This window comes from Homo sapiens, chromosome 18, assembly GCF_000001405.40.
Source record: "Homo sapiens chromosome 18, GRCh38.p14 Primary Assembly".
NCBI lineage: Eukaryota > Metazoa > Chordata > Mammalia > Primates > Hominidae > Homo > Homo sapiens.
This window is the reverse complement of record NC_000018.10, coordinates 4,113,783-4,138,001: the sequence shown is the minus strand read 5'-3', so window position 1 is coordinate 4,138,001 and position 24,219 is coordinate 4,113,783. Positions and strand designations below refer to the sequence as shown.

Genomic DNA, 24,219 nt, shown 5'->3' with positions numbered 1-24,219 from the left:
AACTATTACAACTGATAAATTCAGTAACGTTGCAGGGTACAAAATCAACATAAAAAATCCGTAGCATTTCTATATGCCAACAGCAAACAATCTGAAAAAGAAATCAGAAAAGTAATCCCTGTTGCAAGTGACAGTAAACACCTAGGAAATAACCAATGAATTTTTAGATCTCTATGATGAAACCTATAAAACACTGATGAAAGAATTTAGGAGAATACAAAACAATGCAAGAATATTCCATGTTCATAGGATGGAAGAATCAACATTATTAAAATGTCCATACTATCCAAAGCAATCTACGGACTCAGTGCAATCCTTATCAAAATACCAAAGATATTCTTCACAGAAATAGAAGAAACAATCCTAAAATTTATATGAAATCACAAAAGACCCAGAATACCAAAGCTGTCTTGAGCAAAAAGAACAAAGCTGGAGGAATCACATTACCTGACTTCAAATTTTACAACAAAGCTACAGTAACCAAAACAGCATTTTACTGGCATAAAAACAGACACATAGACCAATGGAACAGAATGGGGAACCCACAAAACAAATCCACTTATCAACAGTGAATTCATACCTTAAAACAAAGGTACCAAGAACATATATTGGAGATAGAACAGTCTCTTCAATAAATGGTGCTGGGAAAACTGGATATCCATATGCAGAAGAATAAAACAAGACCCCTACCTCTTGGCATATACAAAGACTGGATTAAGAAAATGTGGCACATATACACCATGGAATACTATGCAGCCATAAAAAATGATGAGTTCATGTCCTTTGTAGGTACATGGATGAAACTGGAAACCATCATTCTCAGCAAACTATCGCAAGGACGAAAAACCAAACACCGCATGTTCTCACTCATAGGTGGGAATTCAACAATGAGAACACATGGACACAGGAAGGGGAACATCACACACTGGGGCCTGTTGTGGAGTGGGGGAAGGGGGGAGGGATAGCATTAGGAGATATACCTAATGTTAAATGACGAGTTAATGGGTGCAGCACACCAACATGGCACATGTATACATATGTAACTAACCTGCACGTTGTGCACATGTACCCTAAAACTTAAAGTATAATAAAAAAACCACATCAAAATTGAATAAAAACTGAAATATAAGACCTCAAACTATAAAGCTACTGCGAAAAGCTTGGGGAAACTCTCTAGAATATTGGGCTGAGCAAATATTTCTTGTGTAATATGCCACAAATACAGGTAACCAAAGCAAAAATGAAAAAATAGGACATATCAAGTTAAAAAGCTGCTGTACAGCAAAGGAGACAATCAACAAAGTGAAGAGACAACCCACAGAATGGGAGAAAATGTTTGCAACTATCCATTGGACAAGGAATTAATAACAAGAATATATAAGGAGCTCAAGCAAATCTATAGGAAAATATCTAATAATGCAATTTAAAAATATGCAAAATATCTGAATAGACACTTCTTAAAACAAGACATACAAATACCAAACAGATATATGAGAAGGTGCTCACCATCATTGATCATTAGAGAAATGCAAATCAAAGCTATAATGAGATACCATCTTACCCTAGTTAAAACTGCTTTTATCCAAAAGACAGATAATAACAAATGCTGGTGAGGATGTGGGGAAAAGGGAAACCAGTGCTGGAGGGAATGTACATTCGTACAACCACTGTGGAGAACAGTTTGGAGGTTCTTCAAAAAACTGAAAATAGAGCTATCATACAATCCCACAATCTCACTGCTAGGTATATATCCAAAAGAAAATAAATCAGTATATTGAAGAGTTGTCTGCACTCTCAAGTTTTTTGCAGCACTACTCACAATAACCAAGATTTGGAATCTACCTAATTGTCCATCAACAGACAAACGGATAAAGAAAATGTGGTATGTCGCATGTTCTCACTCATAGGTGGACATTGAACAATGAGAACACTTCGACACAGGATGGGGAACATCACACATCGGGCCTGTCATGAGGTGGGGGGAGGGGGAGGGATAGCATTAGGAGATATACCTAATGTAAATGACCAGTTAATGGGTGCAGCACACCAACATGGCACAGGTATACATATGTAACAAACCTGCATGTTGTGCACATGTACCCTAGAACTTAAAGTATAATAATAAAAAATAATAAGAAGAATAATAATAAAAGAAAATGTGGTAGGTATACATTATGGAATACTATTCAGCCGTAAAAAAAAAAAAAAAAAGAATCAGATTCTCTCATTTACAACAACATGGATAGAACTGGAGGTCATTGTGTTAAGTGAAATAAGCCAAGCACAGAAACACAAACTTCACATATTCTCACTTATTTGTGGGAACTATAGATTAAGACAACTGAACTAATGGAGATAGAGAGTAGAACAATGGTTACCAGTGGCTGGGAAGTGTAGTGGGGAGTGGAGGATGAGAGATAGTTAATGGGTGCAAAAATATAGTTAGATAAAATGAATAACACTATCAAGCTAAACTTAGAAGAAAATAATTCAAGCCAAAAGTTAGAAGATTTAAGCAGTTACTAAATGTTTAAATAGCAAAGGCAAAGCAAGAATTACATAGTCTGAATTACTGCCTTAAATTAATTCCCATTCATAACTCAGACCTGACTTATTGACCATGTTTAGGGCCTATGTATTAAATAGGAGGGCATCTACTAGTACTTCCTGGTCACATCAAACCCTTTATTTCCAAAACAACACAAAAACACCCCCTTTCATCTGCTCCCCCCTCTTCTACTGTTTGCTGTCTCAGTCTATGGCACCTCTACCCACCCACCCAGTTGCATAAGTTAGGAACCTGGGAGTCATCTATGAAATCTCCTTCACCCCTTACCTGTGATAAACTTGAATACATTTCTTGAATGAAGTACCACATTAACCGTAATATTTTAATGCCCAATTTGTCATATGGTTATAGTCAGAGAGAGTTTGGAGATCAAACACTACGTACTCTGCTGGTAGTTTCTACTGTGTTTCAGTTTCCGGCCACACTATTCAAATTCCTATGTAAAATTCTGTGGGGCTTTTTGCATTTTCTTGGTGGCGGTTTTGGTGTTGAGCCTGAATACATTCTTGGAAGATCCACTGTAGAACAGCTGGGCTGCTTTTCCTCTCTAGGAAGGCATTGTGTGTGTTGACAAATACAGCGTGTTGGTGCACATGCTCTCAGCAGTATCGCCCTCTTTAATTATGTCCCCTGGGGAAAAAAAATCATGTCCTGGCAAGGCAGCTTTCCTAATAAAAGGCTTCCTGGGTCTTCGGTAATAAGAAATTCAAATGTTTCAACCTAATATTTATTGTGGGGTTTAACTGGGCATTTTAATCTCCTTTGGGAATCAACAAGCTCTAAATGTTACACATGAGAAAACATTTCCTGAGGGACACAAGGAGGGTTTCTCACATTTTGATCCATTTTTATTTAAGAAAAATTACTGGTAAATAACATATGCATTGGTATTAAAAGCTTGAATGAATTATCTCTGCCTCGACTTTGAAATTCCTGCTTTGTTACTGACATTTGTATTATCATTATTTTTCACTCAAATTTATTTCTAGGTATGGAAAATTCTGCCTAGTTTGAATATAGGGGAAGGTGCAGGTAAACTGGAGACCTAAAGTCCAATAGAATCTTAAGAGTAAGATTAACCAAGTCCCCCCAACCTCCCGCCCCAGGGAGGCAGTTAATAGAAAAAGAGAAGGATTGTGGCTTGAAATCCAGGGAAGGCTGTTCTTTAGGGGGCAGGAGAAGAAGGAATTAGCTGGGGAGGATGCAAAGAGAGACAGGAGAACACGGGTGTTTCTTGGCATGAAGGCTAAAAGTATTAATAATGTTAACAGGATTCAGACTAGGAAATTTCGTTAACATGGTAATGTCATAATTTTAAATCTAGAAATTTCTATCTTTTGAATATGGCATCTATTTTATAAATTTGTATAATTATGCATCATGAAATTATAAATTCAATCATCCCATCTCACCTACCTGACTTCTCCTTTTTTTTTTAGGACCACTATTATCTCAATGTCAAAATCTTTGGGTCATCCTCGATTTATTCTTTCTCCTCTACTTGTCCAGCCTCTCACTAGGTCTTGGTTGTTTTTCCCCAAGTCCTTTTAAATCCCTGCCTTCCTAACATCCTCTCGACCAGCCACCATCCTCACGCAGGACCTCACTGTTAGTGCCTCACCCACGAACTTCACTCCAAAATTCCATTTTGCAAGCAAGCCCAAAATACTGTTTCTGACATGTTTTTAATAGTATTTGTTGAATCCTTCCGTACCAGACACTATGCTAAGTGTGCTATTTCATTTAATTCCTATAACCCATTTTACACTTTGCAAATGAGCAAATTGATCTCTAGAGAGTCTGAATAACTCACCCAAGCAACTAAGTAGAAAAGTGTGTCTAACTCCAAAACCAGAGCCCTTAGCCACTGTGGCATAATACTTCCTGTGGCCATGTATAAAAGAGACGATGGTGACCAGACTCCAGGAGATAAAGCTGGGTAAATTAGGATCAGGGTTGTAAAAGATCCCATTAATTTCACCCAATGGACCAACATTTATTCAAGGCTTTTAAGCAGGGACTGGAGAAACAGGCACATGATCAGATTTTATTTTACTAAATAGTTCTGATAGGCAAATGGTGAATGGATTAGATGGACTTGAATCTGAGGCAACCCTTGTACCTCTGGTGTTGGGGCAGTGAATCGTTGGCACTCATGAGCCCTGTTGGAAGCCCTTGACTTAGCATGTGCTGTGCTCTCCTCATGGCATGTTCTTACTGGATTTCTCTGTCTCCCAAACCTCCTTCAAGGCACTTCTCTATTGTCACCTTCCTGGGGGAGGCTGAGTCTCTCCTCCACACTCATGCAGCCTCTACTCAAAGCGCTTAGGGTGTTGCAAGCCTGTCATGTTGCAGCCCGTTGTGCAGTGATTCTCACAAAATCTTGCTGAAACAGTTCTACCCCCATTTCAAAGATGAAGAAAGTAAGTCTCACAGAGTTGATGTGACTTGCCTCTCTAGATTGTATCTGAAGTATCCTTGCATTACCAATGCTGGTAACTTGCAAATGCTCAATAAATGTGTAACAAGTACATTTAATTACCTTTACCTGTTAGTATGTTTTATTTTATTAAAGCTCCTGGATAACAGGAATTATGCTTTTGAAGCTTTCGTAATACCCAGCAACATGTATGGCACGCAGCAAATGAAATTACTTGATTCCTTTAACAGATTTTCATTTTCTGTTGTTTTCCTCTTTTCATTTTGAATACGATACTTTAGAGTAGAATTTTAAGTGGGAACTCTTTTGCCAGAAATCAGCAGGACACCAGGCTCTCTTGGAAGACCATTTCTTTTGTAGGATGATATGATGCTTATATGTTAGACAACTATTGTACCTGGCAGAATGAAAGTGCAGGTGGAAATAGGGTTGTCAACTTTTATTCTCACAATACCTTATAATATAGGTATTATTTTCTCCCCATTTTACCAATGACCAAGAAAGACACAGAAAGGTTAAGTAATTTCCCCTAGGGTCACACAGCTAGAAAGTGGCAGAGCTATAATTTGAACCCATAGACACCATAGTTTAGAGTTTATGTTCATTCACTCAATTAATAAGCGTTTTATGCCCTAATATAGGCCAATCATGAATTTACCCTGTAATAGATGGTCAATGAATGTGTACTTAGTGATTATACAATGTGAGTGCTTAGTCAGGGTCTTCACTAAATGATATATAAAAGTAGATATATGGCTTAGTATGGTTGAATCATTTCAGTGAAAAGAATGAATTGTCTAAAGCATCCATTTTTAGTTTTCAGATTTTACATGCTGTACCAATTCATCCTCAATTAAAAGAAACCAATTGCAAAGTGACTAGGAAATAGTCAATTATTGTTTTAGCTGCCAAGCTTCAAGAATTAGCATTCTAGAATTTACAAAAATGTTAAGCCAGGAAAAAAAAAAGTCATAAAACACCATTTCAACCGCTTTTGAAATTCTGCCAGATACTAGTAATTGTATTATAATTTAAATTTTGGAAACTTAGAATTTTAGAGTTGGATGGGAACTTTGGAATCATCTGTGCCAGCTGCGTACCTCATGCCAGAAGCATTCATACAACATTTTAAAAATAAGATCTTTGACAATGTTCTTTTAACATTTGCACAGTCAATAGAAACAGTTATAGATTTCTTTACGCTATCACTTAAATTTGTGCCTATGGCTAGTAAAATACGATAACCTCTAGCTAATCCAATCCAGCAGTTTCTTGTCACCCTTTCCTGGCTCTTTCTCTTGCCCACGTTTGAGAAATTGGCTTGATATTTTGGAGTGATTCTTCTAGATATTATTGAGCATTGTCCTCTAGTCCTCTAAAGCAGGAGTCAGCGGACCTCATCTCGTGGATCAAATCTGGCCCATCTCCTGTTACTGTAAATAAAGCTTTACTGAGACACAGCCACACCTGTTCTCTTATGTATTGTCTGTGGCTGCTTTTGTTCTAGAAAAGCCAAGTAGGGTACTGGCAACAGAGGAAGTATGGCCCTTAGAGCCATTTACTCTCTGGCCCTTTGAGAAAAAGCTTTCTAACCTGTGCTTTAAAGTATTACAGTTCTTCGCATGTTTTACTTTTAAATATCACTATTTCTTATTCCATTTGTCATGTGGAATAAAATGATTGTGATGGCCTGAATGACATGAGCCCACACATGGTTTGACTTTCTTCTAATGTTTAGTAATTAACTGTTCTTGCTCTCTCTCTTACACGTGCTTGCACGCACACACACACACACGCCCACGTTTTTTTCCTGAAGCTCATAAACTGGAGACAATAACGGTCTTTGTTTCTTTCTGTGAATGTCTGAATGTCTGCAGTTATCTTGGGATATAAATAGTTGCATAATATATTTCTGAAAAAAAAGACACTGTAATGCTGTTTGTGATCATAAAAGACATTGTTTATCAATATTACATGTGTTTATGGCTCTGGTTTTTTTAATACAATTATATGCAAATAGTCCCTTCTTGGGTAAATCCTTGTCATATTTTCCTGCAATTCCCCCTGCTGGCCACATCCTCGCCAATCAGAGTGGATGATTTTCTCACAGTTTTTGCAACAGGCCAACTTCTTGCTAGGCATTCTCTGGTTGTTTTCCTGCCTCCTCTGTCCTCCATTAAAAGATCTTTGCCAAAATGTCACCTTCTCAGAACAGCCTTCCCTTACCTGTAACGGCTCCCTCGGCTCTTTCTCTGTGATGACCCTGACATTAGTCGCAATGTGCCGCTCTCTTGTGGTCCGTGTTCATGTTCTGTGTGTATGTGTGTGCGATGGGAGGGTGTGGTCCTGCCCCTTCTACTGGAATGTAAACTTCACAAGAACAAGGACTGAATCTGTCTTCCTCACCACTGTCTTCCTAGATTCTAATATTGTAAAGCATTTAGAAAACAGAAAGTGGCACATAAATGACAAGTGATTCAATAAATAAATATAAAATAAATGAATGTCCTGAACTTACAAGTGTTGAAATGGTAAGAGTTTCTAATCACATCTAGATGTCACTGGGATCTTCACTCAATTTTGCTGATGTCACTTACACATTCACTTACTAATCCATCACTTACTATTAAATAATCACTATTCCAGGTACTATCTGTGTTCGTGTGTTCCTTTCTTTCTTCACTTGAGGTAATATGAGTATATTGGTATCATCAGTGCCTCTGGAATTTACTCATTCTGAAAATTTGGGAAATAGGAGATAGTTACCTGTCTGTATAACTGAAAAGGTTTTGTTAGAGTACATGAAACTTTTACTCTAGAACAAGAACAGCTTGAAAAACCAACACGGAAGGAAAATATTTAATGTTCTTATAATAAAACATGTAATGATGTTCTTGCAGTGAAATTGAACAGACTATGATCATTTAAATCACAATGTTCTGGAAGGTTTGGACATGGTGAAAAGCTGGTCAAATGAGGGCACCATTAAGTTTTTCTAAGAAAATATAATGCTTCTGTTCAGCATGCTCCGGACAATGCCCAGAATGTCCCATTTAGATATGTCATCAATAGCTAAGGATAGTACTGATTATGTTGCATTCATGTGAAATCTAGTTCTTTACCAGGTGACCAAAACACTTTGAGACATTATTTTATATATTCCTGTTATTCCTTCAAATTAACTATTTTAGCAAGAAGAGATTCTTTGCCTAAGGAATCAGAGTCCGTTCATGGCACAGCTGTAGACAGAATCCCATTGTCCTAATGCTCTGAAGAAAGCCAGTACTAAATTGGCGTGGGTAGGTTGCTCAGGAAAGCAGAATGGTCAGGTGGAATTTAAAACAGTCCACAACTTCACATTTATCCTTCCTCATCTTCCAGTAACCCAAAGCCTCAGGAAAAGTCGCAGTGTTCCTTGTAGTCTTAGAAAAGCACATATCTACAAGAAAGCAGATTGGCCTGTGAGGATGATGAACCAGTGCTTCTGACAAGTTTCATTCTATGACGCACCACGATTTCCCACCCTCTCCTTCATGATGAAGGAAAGATAGAGGAGCTGCCTGATGTGGCCCAATACAATTTTTAATGAAAAGACAATGCTGAGATACTGCATTACCATAGTGTAGTCCGGACAGCCATATGCTTGCCCAAACTATTATATGTGTGTGTAATACTTGAATTTAGATTGGAAATTGGAAGCTCCTTATGGGTTTCTCTTAATCTTTAAAGGTGCTACCCGTCTTCATTGCCAAATATCATTACGTTAGTTTTTCTCTCTGTGGAATTTATCAAAAGGATTCTTTTATTTTCTTGTGCTTCATGCAGTGAGCACTAATTTAGCTGTCACATTTCGGTAGCCCCTCTATTATGATTTTAATAATTAGGTGTAAATAATACAATTGTACTTATAGATGGCCTTTGACTGCAAATGCCCCTTGCCCCTCCCTTCCTTACCAAACCAAAAAAACTTCTGTTCACTCTATAGCCTTTGTTATTGTTATGAACTTAGCCTTAACTTATTCTCGAATACTGAGCACAACCTTTAGAAGGAAAATTTCCAGGCATTTCAGGAAAACTACAAGTTAAAAAAAAAATGCCGGTGTTTACCAGCAGTTAGTTGTTCAGTCAAGGTCTTCAGAGTAGCGTAATCTTCAGTGATGCAAAATGTCATATGGAAAGTCAGGAGATCTTGTGTTGGCTTCTGTCGTTCACTCTCATCTTGGGCATGTATTTTTCTCTCCATTGGTAAATGTGGTCCAGCCTTGGAGGTCTGGGGTATTAACTTGGATCCTCGCTGATAGCATGCTCCTTGGTCCTGCTTCTTCAGGCCAGTATTACTTTGTAAGGACCCGTGTCTCTCTGTAGGAACTTAGCAGTTGGAGATGTTTCCATGGTTCATGCCTTCCTGTGTACTGGGGGCTTTCTTTTCTGCTCATTTGAATCCCATAGGAAATTGTAAAGCATTTAGAAAACAAAAAGTGACACATAAATGTCAAGTAATATAATCACATTTTCACGTGTGGAATCAGCAGTTGCAGGAGATACATGCAGTCATTCCTTGGTATCAGAGGGGAATTGGCAACAAGCATGGCCTTGGATCCCAAAATCCACAGATGCTCAAGTCTCTTGTATAAAATGATGTAGTATTTGCATATAGCCTACTCACATCCCCCCGGTATACTTTAAATCATCTCTAGATTACTTATAGTACATAGTACAATGTAAATCTTATGTAAGTAATTGTTATACTGTATTGTTTAGAGAATAATAACAAGAAAAAAAAGTCTGTATCTGGTCAGTACAGATGCAATTTTTTTCCTGAATGTTTTTAATTGGTAGTTGATTGTATCCACGGATGTTGAACCCACAGATATGAAGGACCAACCATGATTTTCTCTAGTGACATAGAATGCTGTTACTGAACTTAGTGCTGTTATTGAGGGGAAATATTGTGTAACTAACAAAGGAAGAAATATCCCATAAAAAACAAGATTTATGTCAAACTCAAAATGCTTTTTGAAAAAGCTCAGTCTTACTGTGGACTATTGTAGTCAGTGATTTCTTTTGACACATGAACCTGTTGCATAGTGTTGAACCATGTAAAATGAATGTTTTACATGTGTTTCTTTTCACAGTGATTGGATAATTTAATTGAATAAGCCAAGAAATTACATATGAAAGCTTCACACAGTTTGTGGCATACCTGGGACAAATATTTTTAAATTTCCTGTGTTTCAGGCCTTATTTTCTGAGGTCTTAATTCACCATTACATTAGATGACAAATTAGCAATAAAATAGTATTTTAGTATGTTTTTCTATTTTGTAGCAAATGTATGATTCTTACAATTATGCTGAGTTATGTTTTTCAGATAATATATTTTATTTTGAAAAATCATTATCAAGTCAACTGCTGGGAAATACACTAGTAAAGTAGCCCCAATTTTGCCTTGTGAAATCAATTGACTTTTTTCTTTCATCAATGGATCAACTAAATAAATGCTTCCAGATGTATTCTTCTGAATTTGAAATCTTCCTTTTCTTTTCTCTTCTCTCTTTCCTACATTGTATTTTTGTACCTCTTCATTTTTGCAGTAAAATGACTAATGATTACCAAAAAATGCAAGTAGTCAATACCCTGATAGGGTGGAAAAAAGAGACTAAATCATGTTTTTTCCCCTTTGGAAAAATAGTTATTCTTTTAAAAGTGTATTATTGACTGCTAATCTATTTTCTCAGCCAGCCGGTACCACACCCTACTTTGAGAAGGGTGTGAAGGTGCATGCTGGCTTTTGAATAATCTCAAATCATGCATAGTAGCTCCTGCTGATGTTCAGAACTGCCACCTTGCTTACAGGTTCAACTCTGGTGGCTGCTTCCAGTTCCTCTTCTGAAATGATATAGTTATTCTTGGAAATTTTCAACTGATATTACAGTGTCATAAGCCAAATGATCAGGGATACAAAATATGATTATGCAAATCTGATCTTAAGGCAGAACTGAAGGGTTAGTGCTATAAATGAAGTGAAGGAAATTCATCTTCTGGAGATACTGTCATGCCACCTTTTGCTATTTCCTGTAGGATGTTCTCATTTCCCTTGAGGGAGAAAGGTTTCATTAATCTGGGACAGCTGTCTGAAGAGGTTTTATCCTTTTTAGAAGTTGCCTTTGAAAAGTGTCTTTGATATCTACGTTTTTGGGTTTCTGTGATTTAAAAATAAAAATCTTGAAGCACCATATGTAACCACTGTTAGAGTAATGAGATTGCTGCTGTGAGGTTGCACCACAGACTTGTGGCAGGTCAGGGGAAAAGCCATTTTATGATGCTAAGCACCTATAAATTTCTAAAGGGTTCTTCCAAGAAAAAAAGCATTCTCATTTCTTTAGAACTATAAATGCAGGGCTAATATATCTACCTGCATATAAACATATATTTACCCTGTATGTGTGTATATGTGACACATACACACATGTATGCATACTCCATTTATACAACGATATAAAGCAAATAGGTATAGAGATGTTTAAAAATGTGCTGGGCAAGTATTTTAAACTGTGCATTTGTGCATGATATTGAACAGGTTAATTCGGGCTAGATGGCAAACAAGCTTTGTATTTTCCTGAGAGATGTGATCTTAGAAGTTGTCCCTTTGTAATTTTGAGCGAATGAGTTGGTGCACTGCTGAGTTGACTATTGCTATCTCTGCACTTAAGGGCAATATAAAATCAGCTCTGAGACAAAGTGTTTAATAATATAGAGAGGTCTGCTATATCCATCTTTGCAGTAGCTTTTATTTATTTTTTAATGTGATCCCCCTACCCCTACCCATGAGAGGACTCACTTACAAAAAGCTACAGCTGTGTCCCTGCTCGGTGCAGGCTGCCTTGGCCAGGTGCTTCAAATTGCAAGCTTCCATCTATGAGCCTGAGTCCAGCTGTGCTGGGATTGATTCCTGCCACACAGGAAAGTAAAGGGGAAGCCTGAACTAGGTCAGAAAACTGCCTTGCTCATCAAGTCTCACCCACTGCGGCTTGTGCCCTTAGTTTTTTGTTTCTCTGTGATTCCCTGTTCCTGTGGCTCCAGTCACTCTGGCCCTGGAAATGTTCGTAGCAGCCACCTGTGAACCCAGTGCCCTGCTCTAATTTTAGGACAAATTTTTGGCCTGAGACCAAGACATAAAAACAGTAAATCTCTGGCCAAGAAACAGGTCCAGGTGTATCTAGTTTCACTGCTTTGTCAACTTCAATCTAGTTTCTTCAACGTCCGTTACTTTCCCCTGTGATTAGAGTTTGTGCCCTTTGTCCTAATACACACCTTCCTGGATTTGTTTTTGTTTTTCGTTTGTTTGTTTTTGTTTGTTTGTTTTAAGTGCACAGCTCAGCCTTCCTGGGGTTACCACACTTCCCTGGCCCTGACCATGTCTCATGCAGACCTGCCTCTTGAGTCTCCACTATTCCAGCCCTATGTCTACACAGATAGACACTGAGTCTGGGGCTTTTTGCCAATATTGCTTGAGTCTGCAATCCACAGCAACACAATGTGAGGCCAGCCTGTTGTCCCTAATGATGGGAATGCTTCTCTCCTTTGTCTGGTGAATTGCTCTGCATCTGTTATGACTCAGCTCAGGCATCCATTCTCCAGGGAGCCTTCTCTGGCCTCCTCCTGTAGCCCCCCCACTTCCTACTGCTAGGCTGGGCTGGAGGCCCTTTCACTGTGCCCTCATGATGACCTGTGCACATTTCAAACATATGCACTGCTGTGTATTGTAATTGTCCATTTACATATCCATCACCCATAAGCACCCCTCTTCACTCATCTGTGTGCCTCCCAGTGCCTGGCATAATGCCTGGTACTGTGCTTTTTAAATGTTTCTATGCACTAAGTCTACAATAAGTGACCCCTTGCCTTGCTCCTATATACTGATACCTAAGCTTCATCCAACTCTATCACTGGCCTTTGCTGGCCATTGTCATACTGAGGCTATGACATTTGCCCACCAACCTGGACCCCATGCTTGCTTGCCATGCTCGAGGCCCTGATTCCGGGGTACCTAGTCTTGCCCATGAACTCTGGCTAGTGGTGGATGGTCTCCAGGAAGGCCTGTCAAAGTTTCTACTGCTGGTAACAATGGCTAAAATCCTGGGATGTATGCATGGCCTTTCTCTGTTTCAGGCTAGGAAATAGCCCATATCAAGAGAATGTGATTCTCATGAACTCTGAACCCTGGAGAGAAAACACCAAGCATGTAAACCTTCCTCCTTAATAGGAAAATAAAAAGTATTGAATGAGTCAATACTTTTATTCCTCCTTAATAGAAAATACAAAGTATTGAATGAATCATTTTTAACACTTTTAATGGTGACTAATGAAATAGCAAAATATTTTATGGTGAAGGATTTCTGAAAACAAGGCCATTGTTTCAAATTGAGCTGATAGTGTCAGTGGAGACCCAAGCTCTGCTTGAGGCCAAAGCTGTTCCGTATCTTACGAGCCAGAGGCCCTGGCCTGTCATTATGTGTCTAGATTCTGAGCCCAAACTGCTGAGATCTTTCTTTCTTCATCTACTCCAAAATTCAACATTCTAAGCTATTTACAGTTGGTGAGAGATATAATGACTTTTAGAGGCATGAGGATTATTCGAACATTTTTTCCCAATAATATTAAATTCTGGTAATATTCATTTTGGAGGTGTAGGGGTGGAGAAATTCCACCTCCATCCTTCTAGGGTCCTGGCTGAGTTTGAGAGTGAAATTGACATAACATAGATTCATAGGAGAAAGCATATTACAAGTTTTTCTTGGCACAGGAGCTCTCAGGAAGAAATGAAGACCCCAAGAAGCAATGTCAGATACTCATATGTCAGATTGGACAAAGAGCAGTCAGTTGTGAAGAAAACAACCAAATTATGTGGGGAGCCTTAGTGGACAGGAGTTAGTTCAGCAATATCTGTTCAGAATTCTCTTGCGATTGACTTTCCATCCTTGATGATAAGAATATTGCTTCCTCTAGGAGCGCATCTTTAACATGGGAATTTCACCTTCTGCTTTTAAGAAACACCAAGAATCTCAGAGTGATCTTTTCACACCTGCTGATGTTCATGTGGCATTGACTTAAATGGTGAATATGCCAGAATAGTGCATTTTAACCCCTCCAGGGGCAAAACCAACCCACACATTGTTACCAGAAACCCGCCTTATAAACAGTATTCTGTTTTGCCCAAAGTCCCTGAGAAGTTGAGTGTAGATTAAGACCCTGAGGAAGGGAGAGGAGGGCCCTCCGCTTTTTGTATTCGCAGGGCAATTGCTGGCGCCGTTCCATTGCAGTTTCCACAACTCATGGGTTATGCTCTGTTCGTTCAGCAGCTCCAGTGACTTCCCTCTTGATTGAAGAGTAGATCAGCATTTCTAATTGTTCTGCCCAGCTGGGCATGTAGGGTCATTTAGTCATATTAGGTAAGCATTACTTAAGATGGTCACTTTTTATGTTCCTGAACATTGTTTCTGTCCCACAGTCCGAGTATATTTCCACGAGTAGACTTTATTGGGCCCTTCCTTTCTTCCTCCCTCCCTCTCCTCTGTGCATCCTTATGCATGTAATTATGGAGGGTCTCCTATGGCCCTGAGAGTGTATATTGTCCCAGTTCTACCTACTGGAAACAGTTTCCTCGGCCTACATTTAACTTAGCAGTCAAACTGATCCCCCTTTCTCCTTTCCTGCACCTGGAATGCAGGAAGTGAACTGGCCCAGAGTCCAGGCTCCCTGGTCACTAAAACTCCCCTGACTCCACCCCTCCTTCCCACCACCCACCTACATAGGCTGGTGCTTCCCTCCTCCCATCTTGTCCGTTGATGCCCATGAGGGAGAAAGAGCTGGAAGGATACTAAGTTTCCAATTCTATATTTACTAATACTACCCTGAATGCAAACACAAGGTTTCTGAAGCAGAACAGATTAATTATCACTACTTATACAATAATTTCCACTCCAGATCCCTTTAGCCCCAGTTCTTACCCTTGGGGCAATGGAGTGAGAAGCAAATAGGGTCCACTGTAGGCAAGAAATCCCCCAAAGATGAACCTGGGTAGTTATATAGGAGAGGGACAGCCATCTCCCCTTCCCTCCTGAAAGAGAAGGGAGAACCTTTGCTCTTTGGCAAGGATCCTGAGTTCCTATTCTTAGCCTTTGGAATGCAAATAAATCTCTCCAAGGAGTAGACAAAGTCTCGCCTCTCCAGCTTTACAACCTTAGGATGTCTCCATGGTCTCAGGTCTCATTCTCCCCTTGAAATGAAAATACAAATACTTACCTCCAGGGAGGTAGATCTCTCTGGATGGTCTCTTACCATCTAATCAATCATCATTTAACTGGCAGGCTTGCCTTTTAGCTCAGGTCCTAGAATTTAGTACAATTAGTTTAGAAAGTCCTAACAGTGCAAAAAACGTAAAAACATTTTCACTACAGTTCCACAGGGACTTGCCAGCTTGAGGTTAGACCTCATGACTAACCTGTTCTGGAACAATAGCTTCATGTATTTCTCCCGCATCACCCCCTCAAAATAAGAAAGCGAAAACACAGTAATCGTGGCGGAAAAGGCCTTTCTTGGGAATTACAGAATAAGATTTCAGTCTGAAATGGACACAACTACTTAGCTAAGGACTAAAGTGAACTATCATTTAAGTTTTCGCCTGCATGTGATGACTGAACTGTAACCATGCATTTGCTTTTTGGTTTAATATTTTTCCCCTCCTATAACCCCTCCTGCTATAACATTTGTCTTTTCCTGGTTATAAATACACTGAAAGCAAAGGTTGTGTCTATGCAACTTTCTCTATGGAGCTGCTACTACACCATCACAGGCATAGGGTTTGCCATACATATTTTTGGATCATGATAGAGCCCTTGTCTAGCCTGCTCACTTCCACATGATTGCATTCCCTCTAATACTAAAGCATAGTATTTAAACTCACAGATGCTGGAGTCAGACAACCTTGGTTCAACTCCCAGTTTTGCCTGACTTAGGATTTAGTTTCCTCACCTTTAAAAAGAAGATAATACTAATACCTACTTTCTAAGTTTGTCATGGGTATTAAATGAGATAATACATGTTAGTTTCTTAGAGGAGCTGACACACAGCAAACTCTCAGTAAATGTTGGTCATCATTATATTCCTACTGTTAAAGAAAAAATTATTCAATGGTACTTGTTAAAGCATGATAAGGAAAATTTTATTCAGGACTATCACGATGGGTACAGGGACCACTGCAACAGGGTCTTGCAGTAGGGGAGAGAGATTGGGCACAACTCTGAGTATGGCATGAGCAAGTGGGAATTAGCAGTCAAGGGGCAGGGTAGGGGTCAGTGGATGGGAAATTGCTAGGAAGAAACATCAGGAGTAAGGGGGATTCTGGCTAAATTGACCTAACAGGATTCTTGATGAAGGCAGGCCAGGATAACCAGACATCACCTGGGGGATGGTGGAGGATGAGGAACCTGATCAGAATCGAGAGTGATCAGATGTTGAGGACGGGGGGTGAGGGGTTCTTGCCAAAGTGACTTAGCAGGGTTCTTTGCTAAAAGTAGATTTTACAAGGAAGTGCCTGGATGGGCCTAGGAGAAGGTTCAGAAGCCTACATAAAGTCTGGCCAACCAAAGATGCTTTGTCCCTTCATCCTCTTGCCCATCCTGACTTCCACAGCATTACCTCCTCTACATCAATCTATCCTTGAGTTCCTGCACACCCTTTCCTGTCTCAGGGATTCTGCTCTTGCTGTTTCCTCTGTCTGGAATGTTCTTCTCACAGTCAGTTCCTTCTCACTCTCAGGTCTTAAAACAGGTCTTTCCTAATGGCCTAACTGGCATGGCCCAATCTCTATCCCACCTCACACACCCCAACTTGCACCCCCACTCTAGACAAGTTCTGTCACGTGAACCAGTGTCCGTCTTGCCTAACAGCCACCATAACCAGAACTCATCTTGCATTTGTTTATGCATTCACTGTCTGTGCCCACCTCCTCCAACCACCACCATGAGAATGTGGGTACTGAGAACAGGGTCTGTGTCTACCTTGTTCTCTGCTATATCCCTGTAGCTAGCCTAGCCCAGTATCTAGCCTAGTAACGAAGTGCCTAGCCTACTGTAGGCATTCGGTAAATATTTGGTGAATTAATAAAAGAAAGAAAAAGAAAGAGGAGAGAAGGAGGGAGGGAGAGGGAGAGAGAGAAAGAGAAAGGGAGGAGGATGGCAGGACGGAGGGAGGGAGAAGGGAAGGAAGGGAAGGAAGGAAAGAAGGAAAGGCAGACATTACAATCGGTTTGTTTGCATGACTGAGTACTTTTAATTTAGAAGAAAAAGAAACAGTGGAAATGGTGGGCAATTACTCTGCCATATTTTGATCTGTTCTCTTGTCAGGCGAAACCTATAGACCTCCCTAGCTGCTTTGAGCACCAATCTCGTTCTTACCTGTCTATCATTGCTTCACTGACATTGCAGATTTTATGATTACAAGCTATGTCTCAGTGGTTCACATCAAGATCAAACTGTGGACAATGGTTATGAAAAGCCACGAGTGATGTGCAATTCACTTTTTCCTATTGGCTTTCTGTCATGCTGCGGATTAGATACAGAACTCATGTTGTCTGATTGTTTCCTTTAGGATGAAGGATTTAACTTCAGCCTTTCCACCAGTCAGTGACGCCATCTGATGACCTGTAGAAATTTAATTGGGCACTCTGATATATTTAGTAGCAGCTCACTGCTTTTTTTAACAGTTGCTAACATAAATGTCTGAACAACTAGGAGCTTTATAAGTGTTTTTCAAACAAGGGATGGTTTTTAAAGGTCTCCTAATAAATAGCATTATAATTAATCTTCACTAATTTTCAGTCATAATAAATATTCATTTTCAAAGTAGTGATTGTATTGAAAAGAATCCTTCAGTTAAATGATAAATTGTAATTCAGCAGTCCCTTTTATTAATTCAGCCAGCCCCCTCTGCTGTTAAAAGGTTGTTTCTCTTTTTCACTTTCAATGGCTTTTTTTAAACCTCAAAGAGATACTTAAAATTCAGTCATTGTATCAAATAAATAGGTGCCTATGTCAAGTAATTTTGCCAGTGAGAATATTTATGTATCCAAATGATGTCTCATTTCATAGGAAATCTTATCAAAAGCACAAGTTTCATCGCATTGTTACTAAATTAAAATATAGAAACAGAAAATTTCCAGATTAATAGTGATCCACATCTTTGTGGGTAGATAAGCTCCTACTCCAGACATAAAATAAGCAGATTTTTTTTTAAAGAGTGCTTTTGTCTAATTCACTCTTTTTAGCTTGGAAGAGTTGGAAGTCTGGAGCCCTGATTCTAGTCCTAGCTCTGCCAGAACAACCTGTGTGCCTTCGGCTGTCATCCTCACCGTATTCCGTATTGCTAAACACATTCCAGTCACTTCCCAATGAGGACAAAGTGCTATTATCATTTCAATAGCATTGTGAAACAATAGAGTGCTGTTCAAATGCAGATCGATCTGAGTGAGGATTAGCTCTTTGCTCTGTCCTGCAGTGCACTAATTATTGGTGGCTCTGTTATTTAAAATACTGAGATAGGCTGAGTGCAGTGGCTCACACCTGTAATCCCAGCACTTTGGAAGGCTGAGGAGGGAGGATTGCCTGAGCCCAGGAGTTCAAGAAGAGCCCGTGAGACATAGTGAGAACCCATCTCTACAAAAAGAAAAGGAAAATTAACCAGACATGGTGGCACATGCCTATAGTCCCAGCTGCAGGGGAGGCTGAGGCGGGAGGATCACTTGAGCCCAGAAGTTCGAGGCTATAGTGTACTGTGATCATGCCACTGCACTCTAGCCTGGACCACAAAGTGAGACCCCATCTCAAAAAAAATAAAATAAAATACTGAGATAAGGGTATTAGTATATAAAACATATAGAGAAGTAATAGAAGAGAAAATTTTCGTTGTGAAAAAATGTATACCCAAAGGTAGGAGTCGTTATTTGTGTTATTTGAATTATTTATAACGCAAAGGGAAAGATGACTCCAGAGAAGAGTGAAGAGTCCCTCAGAATCTCTCCCCAGTAAACATCCATTTATCAGGAGGAAAGCATTTTTTAAAAACATAGTTTTTTAAAGAGAATTATCCTAAAGTAAATAGGGTAATATTCATTCAAGAAAATGAGAAAATCAGCTAAATCTCATTAAGACAGGGGTCTGTGGCATTTCAGTCATGACCCTTACCTTCCACCCCAAGCTTAGGGAAACTGATTGAGGAGCTCTAATCCAGGGAGATGCAACCAAGAAAATGAGACTCTTCCCACCACCACCCCAGCTCCCCAGCTCCCCAGCCTGGGGCTACAGTTTCACCATGGGAGGAATGGGCTGACAGAGTTTCTCATCTTCCAGCCCCATTTTACAGAAATTCCATTGTAGGCGGGGGTGACTAAGAGGCCCAGGATTCCTTTCCTCCACCTAACTTCTATTCGTAGGACTGAAGCTTTTCCCCAGGCATAGCTAGGAGAGAATAGTGAGGCCCTGATCACCTTCATCCCAGCTCACTTCTAAGGCTGAGGCTCCATACAAGGAAAGGCAAGCCAGGAAGGTACAGGCCACACACACTCCGTACCTGCTGGCGGAGCAGGATGTCACTCTGGGACAAGAGTGGGTTCTACCCCCAGCTCTTGTGCAGTGGAACAGAAGTGCTGCTCAGGAAGAGGCAGGCCAAAGAGGCAGATCTCAGGGACGAAGAACTCCACAGCTCGGCCTGCAGGGGCTGGCTTTATTTGGAATGGAGCGTGGAGAATTCCATGCTTAAGGACATTGTCAAAAGCAATGAGCATCTTGTTGGAGAGCAATTCAGAAGGCACTCATAGCTCCATGGTGCAAGCTACCACATGCAAAATGGCAGAGCAATCAGAAGTGTAACAGGGTACAATGGAAAGACCACCAAGAAGAACCCTCCTGGGATGCCACATAACCCTGGCGGTCATGAAGGCTGTGTGCAGTGCAAGGCTGTACCTAGCAATAGTCAGAAGCAATCAGAGCTAGATGTGGGCAGATTTGAAAACACCACTAAACCACATACGGAATAATCCACAAAGGGCAGAAGCCTCACTGGCACTAGAGGCTTAAGCACAAACTTCACCACAGCTGGCTGAACTGACCCAGAGGCAACTCCTAGGAAAGCAGGCTTAAGAAGAAAAACCATGCTGATCCCTGGCAGCCTGAAAGTCCCTGTACACACCCAAGACTGTGCCTTCTCCAGAGTGATGGGAGAAGAAAAATCCAAGCTAGTAGTCCGTCACAAAATGTGAAGGCAAACACATAATTATTTAAATTGCAATAGCAGCCTCCAAGCCACAAACACATCCAAGGTAAAGAGTAAAAGTAGAACTGGCTAAGCGGTCTTAAGCACAATCTATGACCAGTGATTTTATGCTGACCCGGAGAAATCTCTACATAGCCAGGCTCAAAGATATAAACACGAGGCTGCACACTGTGTGGGAAATAGAGTTTAAGTCATCAAAGCGTAAATAAATTGGCCAAGACAACAACATCAACCCCCTGGGGTGGAGGAGGGGCAATCAATAAGCAGTGTTGCTACAATGTATTATGCAAAAGTTCCAGTTTTCAATGAAACAATTACAAGACATGCAAAGAAATAGGAAAATGTGACCCTGTATTAATTTGCTAGGGACACCATAACAAAGTACTACAGACTATGTGGCTTAAACAATAGAAATTTATTTTCTCAAAATTCTGGATGCTAGAAGTCTAAGATCAAGATGTAAGCAGTGTTGGTTTCTTTTGAGCCCTCTCTCCTTAACTTGTAGATGGCCACCTCCCTCCACGTGGTCTTCACATGCTGTCTTCACGTGATCTTCCCTTTGTGTGTGTATCTAATCTCCTCTTTTTGGAAGGACACCAGTGGTATTCCATTAGGGCCCACTCATATGACCTCATTTTACCTAATTACCTCTTTGAAAGGCCCTGTCTCCAAATACAGTCACATTCTGAGATATTGGAGGTTAGGACTTCAATCTGTGAATTTTGGGGAGAAACACTTCATCCCATAACATATTCAGCTCATAGTAGATACACAGACAGAAGAAAGGCAGGGAATAGAAACTGCTTTTGAAGGAGCCTAAATAATTGACTTAGCAGACAATGACATCACACATTTTAAATAAGTTCAGAGAACTGAATGAGATCATGTCTAAAGAATTAAAGAAAATGTATGATAACAATATCTAATCAAATAGAAAATGCCAGTAAAAGAGAAATTATTTTTAAAGGTACCAAATGAAAATTCTGAATTTGAAAAGTACAAAAATATAAATAAAACAATGACTAAAGGGTCTCGAGAGACAGTCTGAGCTGGTAGAAGAAAGAAACTGACCTTGAAGAAGATCAGTAGAGATTATGTAATCCAAAAGAGAAAAAAAAGAATGAGGAAAAATAAACAGTGCCTGAAAGAATAGAGTGGAACACCATTCAGTGTACCAGTTTATGCATAATAGAAGTGCCAGAAGGAGAAGAGAAAGAGAAAGGAGCAGAAAAAAATATTCAAGGAAACAATGTCTGAAAAATTCCTAAATATGATGAAAAGCATTTTTCTACAGAGTCAAGAAGCTCAATAAACTCCAAGTAGGAGAAATACAAAGAAATTCACGCTCGGACACATTATAGTCAAAATGTAGAAGGAGAAAACAGCAAGAAAGAAATGACTCACCACTTGCAAGGGAATCTCAAAAAGATTAACAATTGTCTTCTTATTAGAAATATTGGAGGCAATGGTATGACATATTTGAAGTGCTAAAAAGTAAAAAAGGTCAACAAGAATCTACCAAAATTATCTTTGAAAAATGAAGGCAAAATAAAAACATTCTGAGATACACAAATGCTGTTTGTTAACCCCCTTACAAGAAATACTAAAGAGAGTTTTTAAGACTAAAAGCAAACCACACCAGAGAATAATTTGAATCTGCACGAGAAAAGAAAGAGTGCTAATAAAGGTAATGATGTAGGTCAGTAAGAAAGACAGTGTAATTGAATATTCATTCCCCTTTCTTCTCTAAACTGATTTAAAGGACAAATTGCACAAAAATATGTGTATCATTATATTAGTGAGTTTATAATATATAGAAATTTAATATTTTTGACAAAAACAGTGCAGAGAAGGTTGGTAGGAGCAAAACTATATCACAGTAAGAAAATGACACCAGATGGGCTGGGCGCGGTGGCTTACGCCTGTAATCCCAGCACTTTGGGAGGTCAGGAAATTGAGACCATCCTGGCTAACACGGTGAAACCCCGTCTGTACTAAAAATACAAAAAAATTAGCCAGGCGTTGTGGCAGGCGCCTGTAGTCCCAGCTACTCCGGAGGCTGAGGCAGGAGGATGGCGTGAACCCCGGAGGCAGAGCTTGCGGTGAGCCGAGATCTCGCCACTGCACTCCAGCCTGGGCAACAGAGCAAGACTCCGTCTCAAAAAAAAAGAAAGAAAGAAAGAAAGGAAGAAAATGACACTAGATGGTAGTTCAAATCCACAGAAAGAAATGAATTGTAAACAGTATATAATAAGGTTAATACAGCAAACTATATAAATACGTACTTCCTCTTCTTTCTTTTCTCAGTTTTGTTAAAAAAAAAAAAACATAAGATTATGTAAAATTATAACAATGTATTTTTTGGTTTGTAACATATTTAGCTCAATATACACAACATTAATAGTACCCAAAAGAGGGGAAAGGAATAGACACATATATGAGTAAAATTTCTTTATTTTGTTGGAATGAATTTTATATAAATCTGAAGTCGATTTTGATAAGACATGCATGGTAAGCACTAGAGACATCACTAAGAGAATAATGCATATATTATTTAAAGATCATTAAGATAAGTTAAATAAATATCACACTAGAAAATATTTGCTTAACACTAAACAAGGCAGTAAAGAAGAAAGGAATGAAACAAACATGAGACATACAGAAAACAATGACAAAACAAATAAAAACAATGACAGATTAAATCTAAGTATTACAATAAAATATTAAATATGTACAATCCAATCAAAAGGCAGAGACTATCAGACTGGAAAAATAACAAAGCCCAACTATATACTCTCTACAGGACACATTTTACATTCAAATATACAAGTAGGTTGAAAGTAAAATGATAGAAAAAGATATACCATGCAAACAGAAACCTTAAAAGAGCTAGAGTGGCCATATAAATATGAGACGACATACATAAACTAAGAAACAAAAATATTGCTAGAGATAATGGGAAATATTTCATAAAGATAACAGGGTTAATCCACAAGGAGAATATAACAATTATAAACATATATGCAGAAGTCATACCCAGAGCAACCAGACACGAAAAAAGAAATAAAAGACATCTAAATAGGAAAAGAAGAAGTCAAACTATCTCTCTTCACTGACGATAAGATCCTATACCTACAAAACTCTAAAGACTTCATCAAAAACCTCCTGAAACTGTTAAACAACTTCAGTGAAGTTTCAGGATACAAAATCAATGTACCAAAATCAGTAGCATTTCTATACACCAGTAGCATTCAAGCAGAGAGCCAAATCAAGAAAGCAATCCCATTTACAATTGTCACAAAAAATAATAATAAAGTAAAATATCTAGGAATACAGCTAACCAAGGAGGTGAAAGATCTCTACAAGGAGAGCTACAAAATACTGCTGAAAGAAATCACAGATGTCACAAGCAAATGGAAAAACATTCCATGCTCATGTATTGGAAGTATCAATATCATTAAAACAATCTGTAGATTCAACACTATTCCTATCAAACTAATATCATTTTCACAGAATTAGACAAAAAACCATTCTAAAATTCATATGGAACCAAAAAAAAAATTATCCAAAGCAATTCTAAGCAAACCAAAAAAAAAAAAAAAAAAAAGCCAGAGGCATCACATTACTCAACTTCAAACTATACTATAAGGCTACAATAATTAAAACAGCATGGTACTGGCAAAAAAACAGACACATAGACCAATGGAACAGAATAGAAAACCTAGTAATAGAGCCACAGAGCTACAGACATCTGATCTTTGACAAAGTCAATAAAAATAAGCAGTGGGAAAAGGACTCACTATTCAATAAATGGTGCTGGAATAGCTGGCTAGCCATTTGCAAAAGGATGAAACTAGACCCCTATGTTTCACCATATACGA

The 24,219-nt window shown here is 39.1% G+C and overlaps 1 protein-coding gene across 11 annotated transcripts in view, besides 5 other annotated features; it reads left to right on the top strand.

Annotated features, from left to right (window-relative positions):
- The window catches only part of DLGAP1 (DLG associated protein 1), a 959,276-nt gene that overhangs the window by 317,306 nt on the left and 617,751 nt on the right, over positions 1–24,219 (top strand). The gene's annotated exons all lie outside the window — the stretch shown is intronic.
- Positions 11,542–12,521: an enhancer, noted in NCBI's record as "OCT4-NANOG-H3K27ac hESC enhancer chr18:4125481-4126460 (GRCh37/hg19 assembly coordinates)". NCBI's record gives its function as "activates a minimal SCP1, AML or CMV promoter by ChIP-STARR-seq in primed H9 embryonic stem cells {active_cell/tissue: H9 hESC(primed)}" and the evidence as "EXISTENCE:reporter gene assay evidence [ECO:0000049][PMID:30033119]".
- Positions 12,522–13,501: an enhancer, noted in NCBI's record as "OCT4-NANOG-H3K27ac hESC enhancer chr18:4124501-4125480 (GRCh37/hg19 assembly coordinates)". NCBI's record gives its function as "activates a minimal SCP1, AML or CMV promoter by ChIP-STARR-seq in naive H9 embryonic stem cells {active_cell/tissue: H9 hESC(naive)}" and the evidence as "EXISTENCE:reporter gene assay evidence [ECO:0000049][PMID:30033119]".
- Positions 18,153–18,924: an enhancer, noted in NCBI's record as "OCT4-NANOG hESC enhancer chr18:4119078-4119849 (GRCh37/hg19 assembly coordinates)". NCBI's record gives its function as "activates a minimal SCP1, AML or CMV promoter by ChIP-STARR-seq in naive and primed H9 embryonic stem cells {active_cell/tissue: H9 hESC(naive and primed)}" and the evidence as "EXISTENCE:reporter gene assay evidence [ECO:0000049][PMID:30033119]".
- Positions 19,092–19,678: an enhancer, noted in NCBI's record as "NANOG-H3K27ac-H3K4me1 hESC enhancer chr18:4118324-4118910 (GRCh37/hg19 assembly coordinates)". NCBI's record gives its function as "activates a minimal SCP1, AML or CMV promoter by ChIP-STARR-seq in naive H9 embryonic stem cells {active_cell/tissue: H9 hESC(naive)}" and the evidence as "EXISTENCE:reporter gene assay evidence [ECO:0000049][PMID:30033119]".
- Positions 19,679–20,266: an enhancer, noted in NCBI's record as "NANOG-H3K27ac-H3K4me1 hESC enhancer chr18:4117736-4118323 (GRCh37/hg19 assembly coordinates)". NCBI's record gives its function as "activates a minimal SCP1, AML or CMV promoter by ChIP-STARR-seq in naive H9 embryonic stem cells {active_cell/tissue: H9 hESC(naive)}" and the evidence as "EXISTENCE:reporter gene assay evidence [ECO:0000049][PMID:30033119]".